This window comes from Homo sapiens, chromosome 20 (genome assembly GCF_000001405.40).
Source record: "Homo sapiens chromosome 20, GRCh38.p14 Primary Assembly".
NCBI classification, from domain to species: domain Eukaryota; kingdom Metazoa; phylum Chordata; class Mammalia; order Primates; family Hominidae; genus Homo; species Homo sapiens.
In genome coordinates, this window is record NC_000020.11 from 62,252,454 (window position 1) to 62,266,053 (window position 13,600).

Here is a 13,600-nt window from a genome sequence, read left to right on the forward strand (position 1 = left end):
TGGCTGCTCAGTCAAAGTCACGAGGTTTCCTTTCTCCTCCCGGGCGCCTCCTTTTTCAATGTGGTTGATTTTCTGCAGAGGCCAGCTCTGCTGGGCGAGGTGCCAGGGGTCCGGGTGCTGCTGCTGAGTCGCCGTGGTGTGGCCTCTGGTCTCTGTACTTCCCTAGGTTGGGAAGTGTGTTAGGCTGTTCCTGGGTTGCTATAAAGAAATACCTGAGACTGGGTAATTGATAAGGAAAGGTCGTTTAATTAGGTCGCGGTTCTGCTCTACGGGAAACATGGCGCTGGCATCTGCTCAGCCTCTGAGGAGGCCTCAGGGAGCTTTTACTCGTGGTGGAAGGCGAAGCGGGTGCAGGCGCCTCACATGGCGCGAGGAGGAGTGAGAGAGACGCCTTTAAAGAAGCAGATCTCATGGGCACTCATCCTTGCCCAGGACCAGGAGGACAGCACCAAGCCGTGAGGGATCCACTCCCATGGCTCAAACACCTCCCATCAGGCCTGCATCCAACACCGGGGATCACATCTCAACAGGAGGTTTGGTGGTGGGGACACATCCAGACCATGTCAGTAGATAAAGCTAGAAACTGGACAAACCTGGGCTCAGTGTTCCGGGCAAAACTGCTTCAGCAGTGGCAGTGTCATCTCTCCCCGGGAGGCACCCAAGGCCGTCTCTCGGGGTTCAGTGCCTGGATGTGTGAATTCTCCAGTGTCGTCTAATGGTGATGGTCACGCACCTGTGTGCCTTGTTCATCCATTTGCTGGGATGCTTCCATAAAGCGCAATTTCCTCACCTGTTACCTGGCGACAGTGGCACAGCAGTGTGTGTAGGGAAGGCAGGATGCTATCTCCTTGATTGCCAGTTTCAAAATAACTTGTGGGCTTACTGGCATCATCCACCATGACCAGTTAATCTCCTTTTTAGGATCTTAGGAACTCTGGACTTGAATGTATTCACCGTGTTTCAGCCTTTTCCCATGTACTGGTGCTCAGATTGTCTCCTCTTTCTTGTGGGAGCTTCTGTAGGTTCATCCTGAGTCATTCGGTGAGAGCCCCTGGCGTAGCCTGTGTTGTGCTGCTACAGCAGTGCCACAGGCTGGGCAGTTTAGAATGAGCAGCAATGTGCAGGCTCCTCGTTCTGGAGTCTGGAAGTCCAGTCCAAGGTGCTGGTGTCTGCTGAGGGCTTTCTTGCTGTCATCTCATGGCAGAAGGTGGAAGGGCAAGAGAGGAGGGAAGAGAGCGGGAGAGAGAGAGGAGAGAGGGAAAGGGAGGGAGAAGGAGGGGGAGGCAAAGGGAGGGGGAGAGAGCACACTAAAGGGGGCCAAACTCGCCCTTTTATTTATTTATTTATTTATTTTTGAGATGGGGTTTCACTCTTGTTGCCCAGGCTGGAGTGCAGGGGCGTGATCTTGGCTCACTGCAACCTCTGCCTCCCGGGTTCAAGCGATTCACCTGTCTCAGCCTCCCAAGTAGCTGGGATTATAGGCACTTGTCACCATGCCTGGGCTAATTTTTTTTGAATTTTTTTAGTAAAGATGGGGTTTCATCATGTTGGCCAGGCTGGTCTGGAACTCTTGACCTCAGGTGATCCGCCCACCTCAGCCTCCTAAACTGTTGGGATTACAGGCGTGAGCCAACACGCCCGGCCGACTCACCCTTTTATAACAGACCCTTTTATAAAACAGCATTAAGCCATTCCTGAGGGCAGAGCCCTCACAGTCCCACCACCTCTCAAAGGCCCCACATCCTAACATTGTCACATGGCAGTCAGATCTCAGCATGTGTTTGGAGGGACGCACATTCCAACTCTACACCCCAGTCTTTCTGGGCAGGCAGCTTCCTTGCTACCATGGCAAGAGGAGCCCAGTCCTGGATTCAGCCGCGTCTCCTCAGGAAGCCCTGGCTCCTCAGTGCTCTGAAGGGGGAAGCACATCGCTGCAGTTGTGAAGGGGACCTGAGTGAGTGACAGCAACTTCTCCCGTCTGCAAGGGCAAGCACACCCTGGCCGTGAGCAGGGCTGTCTGCGCCGGCCTTCAGGGGCTGCCGCAGTCTGGCTGGGAAGGAGGGAGGAACCGGGAGACACTGGAGAGTCTCTCAGGGGACGTGGTGGCTGTCCTGTTGTCTGGAGGGAAGCAGCTGCTGCTGCCCCGTGCGGCTGTGGCAGGGCTGCGGGATGAGCCGCTTGAGGGGTCACCCAGCACTGGGGGCCGTTCTCGCCCCGGCGCCCTCACCCTCAGAACTGTGCAGAGAGCTCTGGGCTGGTTTTTGTATTTTTGACACAAGTAAGGATGCTGATTTTGGCTTCCTTCTCTTGTCGTTCATCAAACGCTGCTTTTCCTGATGGGAGACACTAATGTGCATGAGTTCTAGAATATTGAGCTAAGGTCGTTGTGAGAAAATGTAAGTTTACTTCAGTTTATCCTGGGAGTAGCTAACTTACATAGCAGCCTCAATTCTCTAGAATTGATGTTGGTTTCAGGTAGTTGTGAAATTTTAGACATAATTTTCCATTTACTTATACAGCCACTTGTTCCAGCCTCTGGTGAATGTTTGCAATGATTTTCAGCAAAACTTCCAGAGCCGTGTTTGAACCTCGGATGCTGAACACCTCATTGAAGCTCACCTGCTCTCTCTGACTGCCCCCATGACTTTTTTTTTTTTTTTTTGAGATGGAGTCTCGCTCTGTCGCCCAGGCTGGAGTGCAGTGGCGTGATCTCGGCTCACTGCAACCTCTGCCTTCCGGATTCAAGCGATTCTTCTGCCTCAGCCTACTGAGTAGCTGGGATTACAGGTGCCTGCCACCACGCCTGGCTGATTTTTGTATTTATAGTAGAGACAGGGTTTCACCATGTTGTCCAGGCTGGTCTCTGAACCCCTGACCTCAAGGGATCCACCTCAAGGGATCCACCGGCTTCGGTCTCCCAAAATGCTGGGATTACAGGGGTGAGCCACCACACCCTGCGCCCATGACTTTTCCCAAATTAATGTTTTATTGTTTTCTTACATAACTGTAGATAATGCTTTTAATTTTATTTTAATTTTATTTTAATTATTTATTTGTTTATTTATTTCGAGACAGAGTCTCATTTTGTCACCCAGGCTGAAGTGCCGTGGCACGATCTCAGCTCACTGCGATCTCTGCCTCCCGAGTTCAAGAGATTCTCCTGCCTCACCCTCCCAAGTAGCTGGGACTATAGGCGTGCGCCACCACGCCTGTATAATTTTTGTATTTTTAGTTAGAGACAGGGTTTCACCGTGTTGGCCAGGCTGGTCCCAAGCTCCTGGCTTCAAGTGATCCGCCCACCTCAGCCTCCCAAAGTGCTGGGATTACAGGCGTGAGCCACCATGCCCAGCCAATAATGCTTTTTAGAAACAACTCTTGTTATAGGGCTGAATTATTGGTCTGTTATTCATTGATTGATCTTCCGTTATAAATGCTCCCTCTCGTTTACTTTTTGAAATTATGTTTGTGATGTGATAATTTATTTTACTAATTTGCTTACATGGAATTTAGATTGATTTTAGGATGGTGAATGGGTATTTTTAAAATGTTTTTAAACCGTGAAACTTCTGGAAGCTAAGTATGCCAAAATTTTTTTCCCTTTAGATCTTCAGTGTCTATTGGATTTTTCCAAGAGAAAGTTTGTAAAATTCCTTACACTGTAGATGTGGATCAGATACGATGATTCAGTAGAAGAGCACATGTCAGGGGCAGTGGAGGCTGGCTGCTGAAGGATGAACGGAGAGGAAGAATTCTTTGATGCCGTCACAGGTGAGTCAAAAGAGAACCAACTGGGGACGTACTGGAAGGGTGAACGTCCCTGGATTCAGATGTTGGACCTGGCGTTTGGGGTGTAAAGATGCTCAGTAAAGCAGTGTGTGGGTGAGCGTTCACGATCCCAAACACGGACTGTTCAGCAAAACCTGACATCCATCTCAGAGGTGGGAAAAGCCTTGACTTTGGCTGACAGGGTTTAAGTCTCCCGAAGAGTTTCCTGGGGTGCGGATATTTTCATTTGTCTCCTGAGATAGCCATCTTCTTCCCCTATTTCTGCTTCATGATGAGAACGTTCTAGATATGATGACCCTGTCTTGCTTGGCACTGCTTGATGCATCCCATCAGACAGCAAACCCCTGGGTCTGCAGCTGCGCTCACAGCCGCAGAGTGCAGTTATTTTTTTCTTTCGCACGATGGTTTAAAGTGGCGGCATGCAGCCTGTGGTCTGAATGAAATCCTGTGGCCTAATTGAAAAGAATGTGTTTTGGCATCCAGTCACTCAAAAAAAGAAGAAAATGAAGACCGTGTTGCAGGGCTCATGGGCATGTGACGGGGCGGCTAGAGGAAAGGGCAGGCGGGGCTGGCAGCTTGGCCTTCCAGAGCCGCCCCTTCTCCTGGCACAGGGAAGAGCCTGAAACCCTTTGAGCTCGTGTCTTGTCAGGTCCTCATGTTCATTCTCCACTCTTCTGTGCCTCGGAGTCAGCATCTGGAATTCCGCTTGTTTTTTCTGGAAAGGACCATTGCTGGTGGGAAGGGGCATCAGGAGATTCTCCTTGATGTTCCCTTGTCCTTAGGCGTCGGGATCAGAAAGGAGTGGCTTTGGAAATGTGGCCGCAGGCCAGGAATTAGTGATGATCTTTAGAAGCACTTCTGCGGTTACTGCCGCTCAAGGATCTGTCAGGGTCTCTATGGCCATGCCCCAAGGACACGGCGATGGCTCCGTTGGCACCTCCAGTCTGTGGCCCTGCCAGGGTGGGTGTGTCAGGAGGGTCTCTGTGGCCACACCCCGAGGATGTTGATGGCTCTGGTGGCGCCTCCGGTCCGTGGCCCTGCTGGAGCGGGCTGATTGTCCCGAGGCTGTGCTGCTCCTGTACCTGCGCTGGCAGCTCAAGATGGTTGACTTACTCTTATCCAAAACCCCAGGAGAAGGGGATGATGCGCTCCTTACCGGCTTCAAAGGCTCAATTTCGAAGTCATTTTCCATGATTTCGTAGCTGAATTATCTGCAGCGTGTTTGCCTCGGATGCACTCTCAGAGGAGGGTCCATGGAGCTTGCAACTCATCCATGGTGGTTCTGTGTTCTCTGCTGAATCCCACACAGCGGAGGGATTGTCAGGCTCTCACACCCTTGGGCTGACCTCTAGTGGGATGCCACGTCTGTCACAGAGAGCGCAGCCTTGAGGTCCCTCCTCTCCTGGGAGTCTCATAGGATGTCCTTTTTGTCTGGGGTCTTGGTGTGACTGATACTTTCCCGAATACCTCTGGCCATTTTTTTTTTTTTTTTTGAGCCAGAGTCTTGCTTTGTCGCCCAGGCTGGAGTGCAGTGGCGTGATCTCAGCTCACTGCAACCTCCTCCTCACGGGTTCAAGCAGTTCTCCTGCCTCAGCCTCCCAAGTAGCTGGGATTACAGACGCCCACCACCACGCCTGGCTAATTTTTGTACTTTTAGTAGAGACGGGGTTTCACCGTGTTGGCCAGGCTGGTCTCGAACTCCTGACCTCAGGTGATCCACCTGCCTTGGCCTCCCAAAGTGCTGGGATTACAGGTGTCAGCCACTGCGCCTGGCCAACTCTGAGCTTTTTGAGTCAGTTTGCTGTGACTTCCCAGGGTTCCCAGCTGTGTGTGATGTGGTACTCAGATGGACTCCACTGTTCTAGGAGCCACAGGGTGTGCGGGGCTGTGGGGCGTTGCTCCTGCATGGCAAGGCCTCTCCATGTGTCCCCAAGGATGAGGTGGAAGGGACAGACATCTAGGTGACAAGAATTTTCCCCCTCAGTTCTTGGGCTTCAAAACAAATAATGGAAGGAAAAAACCACTTCATCTCTTTATGCGATGAAATACCCGTGCTAGAGGTAGACTCTCGACTCCTTCACCGCCTATAATACTCATCTGACTTTGTAACTCTAATTTCAAAAGTATGTAAACTAAGCAGTTATTAAATGAATGACTTCATTAGGCATTTAATTTGTCTTAAGAATCAGTGCCATTCAAAGGAAAGGTTTGGAGGACATGAACAGTGTGTATGGGATTAAGGGCTATGAACGCAGAGGGGCTAATAAAAACAAGGGTTTCCGAGGGAGCCGACGATAGGAGATCTCAGCTTCCTCCTTTGCTCATCTGTATTTTCTGTTTTTCTACAATAAATGCATGTGGTGTCTTAGAATGTTATTAGGCCATCCGAGTAGCGTTGGCTGAGTCGGAGGCTGTGGTGGCTGCCAGGTCTTAGAATGTTATTAGGCCATCCATGTAGTGTTGGCTGAGTCAGAGGCTGCAGTGGCTGCCCGGGATGTGCTGCTTTATTCTTCGGGGTGGGGGCAGGTCCTGCCCCACGGAATTCCCTTAAGTAGGGAATGTTTTTAAGATAACTTCAGAGTGAGAAGTTAGAGATGTTGATTTTGGGACAGAGAGCAAAACATGAGAGATGGCAGGGTATTTCAGAAACTGTGGGCCATTTCAGGATTCCTTTTTAACCCATCCTCTCAAAATCACGATGTCATCCACCCCAGCACTGCCTTTATGGATGGACTCTGCTGTGTGGAGGGGCAGGACACAGCAGCTTTGCTTTGTTCTTCTGGAGCCTGTGGCAGACTCATCTGCGTGTGGGGTCCGACCACAGTTGTCTACCTGACCCTCCCGGGCTTGTGCCCCTCACGTGGAGCCCTCAGACCCTGGAAGCACTGGGTGGTTGCCGGCTGCTGCAGGCCCAGAGCCCCCATGGAATAAACTCATCGCGGGGACCCAGCCCCCACTCCACCCGGCTCTGGAGCAGAACTTGGCCCTTCCAGCAACTCAGACTGACAGGAGTTGAAGGGAGACGTATGTTCCTGTTCCCTAGTTGCCCGTTCTGTCCTGGGGAAGGGCCCACCCCACCAGGGCAGCGGCCGGCCGTTCTTCTCCAGGACTTTTGCTCCAGGAGTGCATGCATGGCTGGATCTCACTCACATTCTAAAGAGCTCCTTCTCCAGAGTCCCCCTTCATCCGGAGTCCACTCTGAGTCCAGTCACATGTGTGGCATTTCCATGATTGTTCCCTATCTGGGTACAGTTTAGTGGTGCCTTTGCGTGCCACGATGGTCTCCCTTGAAACACTGTCAGCAGGCGTGTTTCAGACCAAGACGCAGACCTTGGTCACAAGCCCTGAGCCACAACGGGCGCATCGCAGCCTTGGGATGGGTTTGAATCCGATAGAAGTGGCCCACCCAGAGCATGTAGGTCACAGATTAAAATGATGAAAGGGTTCCTTCTGGAAGATGAAGCTCATGGCCTGGGACTGGACCTCAAATCACAAGCGTGGGAGGAGCCTGGGCACTGGAGCTCGCTGGGAGCGCGTTCTTAGGAGGGAAGCTCCGTGGCACCCTCCTGTTCTCTCTGTACCGTGTCTGCTTCTGGAGAACCAGAGTTAATTCTTCCAAATGTGTCCGTTCACACAACTGAGCTCTGTAGTCACCTGCTTGCATAGTCAGAATTCTTGGAGGTAGGCTTTTAAAAAATCTTTCAGGTCCAGCGAAAATGACCATTTTCTTGTCTCGCACAGGCTTTGATTCTGATAACTCTTCTGGGGAATTTTCAGAGGCAAATCAGAAAGTCACGGGAATGATTGACTTAGACACCAGCAAAAATAATAGGATTGGGAAAACTGGGGAGAGGCCCTCTCAAGAGAACGGAATTCAGAAACACAGGTATGTTCTCTCACGTCTGCTGTTTCTAAAATGTGTCTGTAATCACCCCAAAAATACTCTGCAGGGTACCCCTCAGCCCTCACGAGCATTGAGCTGGAGTGGCACCCCCACAGCTGTCTGGCCTCCCCATCCGGACAGCCTCCTCTGTCTGGCCAGCAAGGGTTCAGAGAGACTCCATGCCTCTCTTGGCTCCTGGAATCCACAGATGGCAATTTTTTGAGCAGTGCCTTTCCCCATCTAAGAAATGCCTCTGTTCCCCTCCCTGCCCTCAGGAGTTGCTGTGAGAGGATTTGGGGTGACACAGGCTTTGTCAGGGCCTGGCAAACAGTACATGGCGTCTTGATCATCAGACCCCTTGCTGATTTCCTACAGATCTGCCTGCTTTTCCATGGGCGGCCAAGTTCATCCTCTGTCTCAGCGGAGTTCTATTGCAGTGTGTTCAGCTCTGACCCCTACAGGACAAGAAGCGTTTAATTTCCTTGTTGTAGCAAGACCTCATTCCCTTTCCTCCTCCTCCACGTTCGTTTTCATGTAGGTAGAGTCCAGTGACAGTGGCCATCACAAGAAGTCTTCAGTCCTTGGCTGGTCGCGGTGGCTCATGCCTGTAATCCCAGCACTTTGGGAGGCTGAGACAGGTGGATCACTTGAGCCCAGGAGTTGGAGACCAGCCTGGGCAACATGGCAAGACCCCACTGCTAGAAAAAAATTAAAATAATTAGCTGGGCATGGTGGTGCACGCCTCTGGTCCCAGCTACTTGGGAGGCTGAGTCAGGAGGATCCCTTGAGCCCAGAAGTTCGAGGCTATGGTGAGCTACGATGGCGCCGCTGCACTCTAGTATGGGCAACAGAGCAACACCCTGGCTCAAAAAATAAAGGGAAGAAGTCTTCAGTCTTTGTTGATAGAAGCACGAGCCAGGCGCAGTGGCTCATGCCTATAATCCCAGTCCTTTGGAAGGCCGAGGTGGGCGGATCATGAGGTCAGGAGATTGAGACCATCCTGGCCAACATGGAGAAACCCCATCTCTACTAAAATACAAAAAATTAGCTGGGCGTGGCTGTGCGCATCTGTAGTCCCGGCTACTCTGGAGGCTGAGGCAGGGGAATCACTTGAACCCGGGAGGCAGAGGTTACAGTGAGCCGAGGTCACGCCGCTGCACTCCAGCCTGGGTGACAGAGTGAGACTCCATCTCCAAAAAAAAAAAAAAAAAAAAGGCACAAAGGCAGGACAAGTGTCAGGTGGGACAGGCAGTGGCCCTGGAGCTGGTGGCATTGCGTTGCAGGCTCCAGGCACAGCCGCTAATGTGTGTCTCAGCTCCAGGGAGCTGCTCCAGCCTGGCCTCAGGCTCTCCTTCGAGCTGTAGGCCCACACGCCTGCTTGGTGGGTCCACTCTGGCACCCACATGTGCATCTCACCTGTTGTTTGTTCGTTCTCTCACCCTACAGATATGGGAGCCCCCACCCCCGCTCCTGCATTCCCCGTTTTCTAGCCCTGACTCTGTGGTCGCTTTAAATGCTGTTAGGTCCTTCAGTTCTTCCATTTGCTCTGCAACATGCCCGTCTACCCAACCACCCTTGTTTCCAGAGTGGCCTCTGCATCCCTGCCTTTTATTCCTGTTGTTGTGCAGAGGCATTTGTGTATATGTGTATTTATTGTGTTTGAGACGGAGTCTCACTCTGTCGCCCAGGCTGGAGTTCAGTGGCGTGACCTCGGAAACCTCTGCCTCCCAGGTTCAGATGATTCTCTTGCCTCAGCCTCCCGAGTTGCTGGGATTACAGGCATGTGCCACCATGCCTGGCTAATTTTTGTATTTTTAGTAGCGACAGGGTTCCGCCGTGTTGGCCAGGCTAGTCTTGACCTCCTCAAGTGATCCACCTGCCTCGGCCTCCCAAAGTATTGTGATTAAAGGTAGGAGCCACCATGCCCAGCCCAGAGGCACTTTTCAAAAGACAGATCTGGACCCCCCCCCCACCCCGTCACCCTCTGCCTAAAACTCAGGCAGGATGACCACATGGCCGGCCTCACACTCCTGCTCCTACAGAACTGTGAATGGCGCCCTGTTATACTAGAAGAAATGACCCAGCTCGGACAGTGCACCATGTGGTCACTCACCTCTTAGGAAGAAAGCCAGCACCCTCACCTGTGCCCTCAGGCCTGGCCCCGAGCCCTGTTGCCTCCCGTCCCAGCTGCAGGGGCCTCTTTCAGGTCCTCGGGTGTGTCAGCTCCCTCTGCTCCCTTGGCCTGGGGCCTCTTTTCTCTTCTTTCATGTCTGTTGTTCCTACGCATCCCATCTCCATGCAGGGTCGTATCCTTGGGGGATGCGACCTGACCTTCTGCAGAGCCACTTTCCCCTCCTGGTAGCACCTCCGAATCACAAAGTATTCACTGAATGTGTGCACGGACGATGGCGGAGCAGAGCTGGGTGCTGGCTTCCGGCAGCCCGGGCCTGGTACTCAGCAGATGTTCCTTTTCTTTTCCACCCTGCCTCATAGCTGCCATGTCCTTTCCCTCCTGCCCCCTGACACCAGTAGTGTGCCCTGACCCAGCTGCCCTGACGTGGCATTCCCGGGGCATAGCTCGGGAGCAGAGCAGACAAGAGCTCGTGCTTTCATCACTCTGGAGGTCAGAGTGTTGGTGCCAAGGTTCTGCTGGGTGTGAGGCAAAACGCCCCTCAAAGCAGCTTCCATGAAATGGGAGTTCAGCAGGAGAGCCCTGGGGTGTCCCTGGAGGGCTGTGAGCAGCAGGGAGCCCCGGGCCCCTACTCTGCAGCACCTTCTTTGCACCCTGCTCTGTGGTGTCCTGTGTGGGTCTGGCACGCCTCTCCCCAAATCCAAGTTTATGTCTCCATTCAGGCGCTCCCCTCCTAGATGGAGACAGTATCTCATTCCAGCTCCACGTTCCTGGTGGGGAGACCAGGGCCCCGGGTCAGTGGTCCCGGTTGATGAGTGGTGAGCAGTGGTGGGGGTGAGGGTCTCCTGGTGCAAGCATGAGGGCATGGGCTCCGCCTTGCAGCCGACTGGAAGATTACCTGGAAAGAAATGCTCCTCAGGAAAGCAAGCACGTGTTTAAAGGGCGGAACAGCTTTTAATTCAGGTCACTCTTGCTGCCCTCTTACCTCTGCCTGTGGTCTGGCCGCTGCCCCAGGGACCCAGCAGGAGCCCCCAGAAGGCTGTGGGCTCTGCGGGCAGAGGGACTCCCTCCAGCTGCCACCCTGTCCTCCAGCTCTGAGAGGAAACAACAGCAGGGCCACTGCGGGGCCAAGACTGCAGAGTCATCTTTGTTGTCATGACCATTCCCAGGAAGCCCTGGGAACATGGGTGTGGAAGGCCTCTAGGCAGCAGTCGTGCCCTGTGTCCCTAGGCATGCCAGAATGTAGAAATGCCAATGTTTAGGAGTAAAAATTAAAGAGAAATCGTCATTGAGCACAGCCTCCTTGAGTGGTCAGAGTCCTGTGTTGAATTCACCCACACGCACCCCTTTTGTGCTTCGCAGGACATCGCTGCCGGCTCCCATGTTCAGCAGAAGCGACTTCAGCGTGTGGACCATCCTGAAGAAGTGTGTTGGCCTGGTGAGTCCGGGGGCCCGTGTTCACACATGGGGCTGCACCACTGACTCCTGGGAAGGTATTGCAGTGCTGGTGGTTTAAGAAAATGCGCTCTTGGCCGGGCGCGGTGGCTCACGCCTATAATCTCAGCACTTTGGGAGGCCGAGGTGGGCGGATCACGAGGTCAGGAGATCGAGACCATCCTGGCTAACACAGTGAAACCCCGTCTCTACTAAAAATTCCAAAAATTAGCTGGGCGTGGTGGAGGGCGCCTGTAGTCCCAGCTACTCGGGAGGCTGAGGCAGGAGAATGGCGTGAACCCAGGAGGCGGAGGTTGCAGTGAGCCGAGATCGTGCCATTGCACTCCAGGCTGGGTGACAAGAGTGAGATTCCATCTCAAAAAAAAAAAAAAAAGAAAAAAAATGCACTCTCATGTTTATAAACAGCATGAGATTAAGACAATAAAACAGGAAAAGAACAAGCAAGTCAGGGGAAGAGGTGTTCTGTAGGTGAAACGGGACATAAGAACCATCCTGCAAGCACCCATCCAGCCCTGTGGCCTGCGTGAGGTGGGTGGGGCTTCCGTGGCACCCTCCCTGGCCACATGCTGAGCTGCAGGAGGGGTGTCAGCCTTTGTCAGGTGCTCAGGGTTTGGGACAGAAAAACCAGCTGGGAATGAGCACCCAGAAGTTACAGACTTTCCCTTTCATGATCTTTCCTGACTGTGAGAACCCAAGCTGTGCCTCACAGGGGCGGGGAGTGTCCCGTGCCTCCTGTACCGTGCTGGTTCCTGGGCCAGCGCTTGATGCCTGAAAACTCACATGGCCTGGGAATACGTGTCACTCTTGCCCAGACCATGTCTTCTAGTGCTGGTGATTTTTTGCCCTTATCTGTTTTAGTCCTTTTTTTTTCCAGAGGGAACTTCACTTTTTCTTAACTTTTTATTTTGAAATAATTTTAGACTTACGGAAAATCACAAAATAGCACAGAGCATTCCTGTAGACCCACCACCCAGCTCCCCTGATGCCGGCATCTCTCGGAATAACCATAGGTCAGTGACCAAAGCAAGAAATGCATCTTAGCTCCACATGTCACTTGTATTTCCTCAGTGTCCCCGATGTCGTTTCCTGTCCCAGGACCCTCATGGCATTTGGGCTCCTCCACTTGGTGGCAGCTGCTCTGGTCTGTTACTTAGTGGACTTTTCCTTAATTTGGGTTTGTCTGATGTTTTCTTCTTAGAATGAGGTTCTGTATTTTTGGCACACACAGAAGTGAGGTACCCTTGCCAGGGCCTTGTCTGAGGGGCTCTGTGATAGCCGCATGTCTTGTTAGTGGGACTGTTAACCTGATCACTTGGTCAAGTGTCTCCACTGCAAAGTTGCTGCATTTCTCTTTGTAATCAATGTTTTAGGGAAGACACTTGGATTCTGCTTGCCAATTGTAGCATCCATTGGTGGGTTTTACTGAAATCATTCTAATGGAGATTTTCCATTCTCGTTCGTTCTTCTACCTTTATTAATTGGAATTGTTCTGTAAAGGAGAGCTGTCCCTTCTCCCCTAATTATATATTTATTCAGTTATTTATTTGTATTAGTATGAACTCATGAGCATGTATTTTATTCTGTGAGTTGAATTCCAGTATAGTCCTTATTTACGGACTATAAATAATTGCTCAAAGTGTTCTACCTTTGGTGTTGAGAGTTCTTCTAGGTTGGTTTCCCCCTTCTGCTGAACCCCCATCCTTTTCTGAACACTTATTTCAGGCACTAAAGAATGCTCTAGTTCAGCTTATATTTTCCCTGCCTTAACCCTGGAATCAGCCACTTCCCCAGGGAGCCCATTCACTGGGTAATGGTGTTTAGAAACCACAATCCAGTGCTGGGTGAGCTCATTGCTGCTGAGGTATCATTGCCTGCAGGCCCTCTCAGCAGACAGCACTGGAAAATACGAGTGTGCTAATGCTCATGCATACACATCTGTATTTCTGTATATATCTGTATGTTTCTTTTAAAATAAACCATTTGAGATTTTTTTTCTCTTTTCTGCAATGTTTTTTGTACATTTTTGACTATGTGGATAATTCAGGTCTTGACAAAAATATCTGTCTTGGTATAGATGAGGAATGTCTTTTGTGAACTTGACAAACCACCTAATTTTGACTCTCTTAAATTCTGAGACAGGCTGGGTGTGGTAGTAGCTCATGCCCTCAGGAAAGCTGAGGGAAGAGGATTGCTTGAGGCCAGGAGCTTGAGACCAGAGCCTGGGCAACATAGTGAGACCCCAACTCTACAAAAAAATTTAAAAGATTAGCCAGGCATGGTGGCACATGTCTGTCATCCAGTTACTGGGGAGGCTGAGACAGGAGGATGGCTTGAGCCCAGGAGTT

At 51.6% G+C, this 13,600-nt stretch overlaps 1 protein-coding gene across 4 annotated transcripts in view, besides 1 other annotated feature; it reads left to right on the forward strand.

Annotated features, from left to right (window-relative positions):
• Positions 1-13,600, forward strand: part of OSBPL2 (oxysterol binding protein like 2) — a 57,663-nt gene that overhangs the window by 13,933 nt on the left and 30,130 nt on the right. The window contains exons 2-5 of one of the 4 annotated variants that reach the window (NM_001363878.2): positions 3,604-3,768; positions 7,528-7,672; positions 11,163-11,238; positions 12,176-12,265. Coding sequence is in view for 2 of the 4 variants with exons in the window: in NM_144498.4 (NP_653081.1) it covers positions 3,732-3,768; positions 7,528-7,672; positions 11,163-11,238 (258 nt within the window). In the remaining 2 variants the exon portion in view is untranslated. The remainder of the gene's footprint in view (positions 1-3,603; positions 3,769-7,527; positions 7,673-11,162; positions 11,239-12,175; positions 12,266-13,600) is intronic. The other 3 variants (NM_144498.4, NM_014835.5, NM_001278649.3) reach the window with 3 other exon arrangements.
• Positions 4,275-4,775: an enhancer, noted in NCBI's record as "H3K4me1 hESC enhancer chr20:60831784-60832284 (GRCh37/hg19 assembly coordinates)". NCBI's record gives its function as "activates a minimal SCP1, AML or CMV promoter by ChIP-STARR-seq in primed H9 embryonic stem cells {active_cell/tissue: H9 hESC(primed)}" and the evidence as "EXISTENCE:reporter gene assay evidence [ECO:0000049][PMID:30033119]".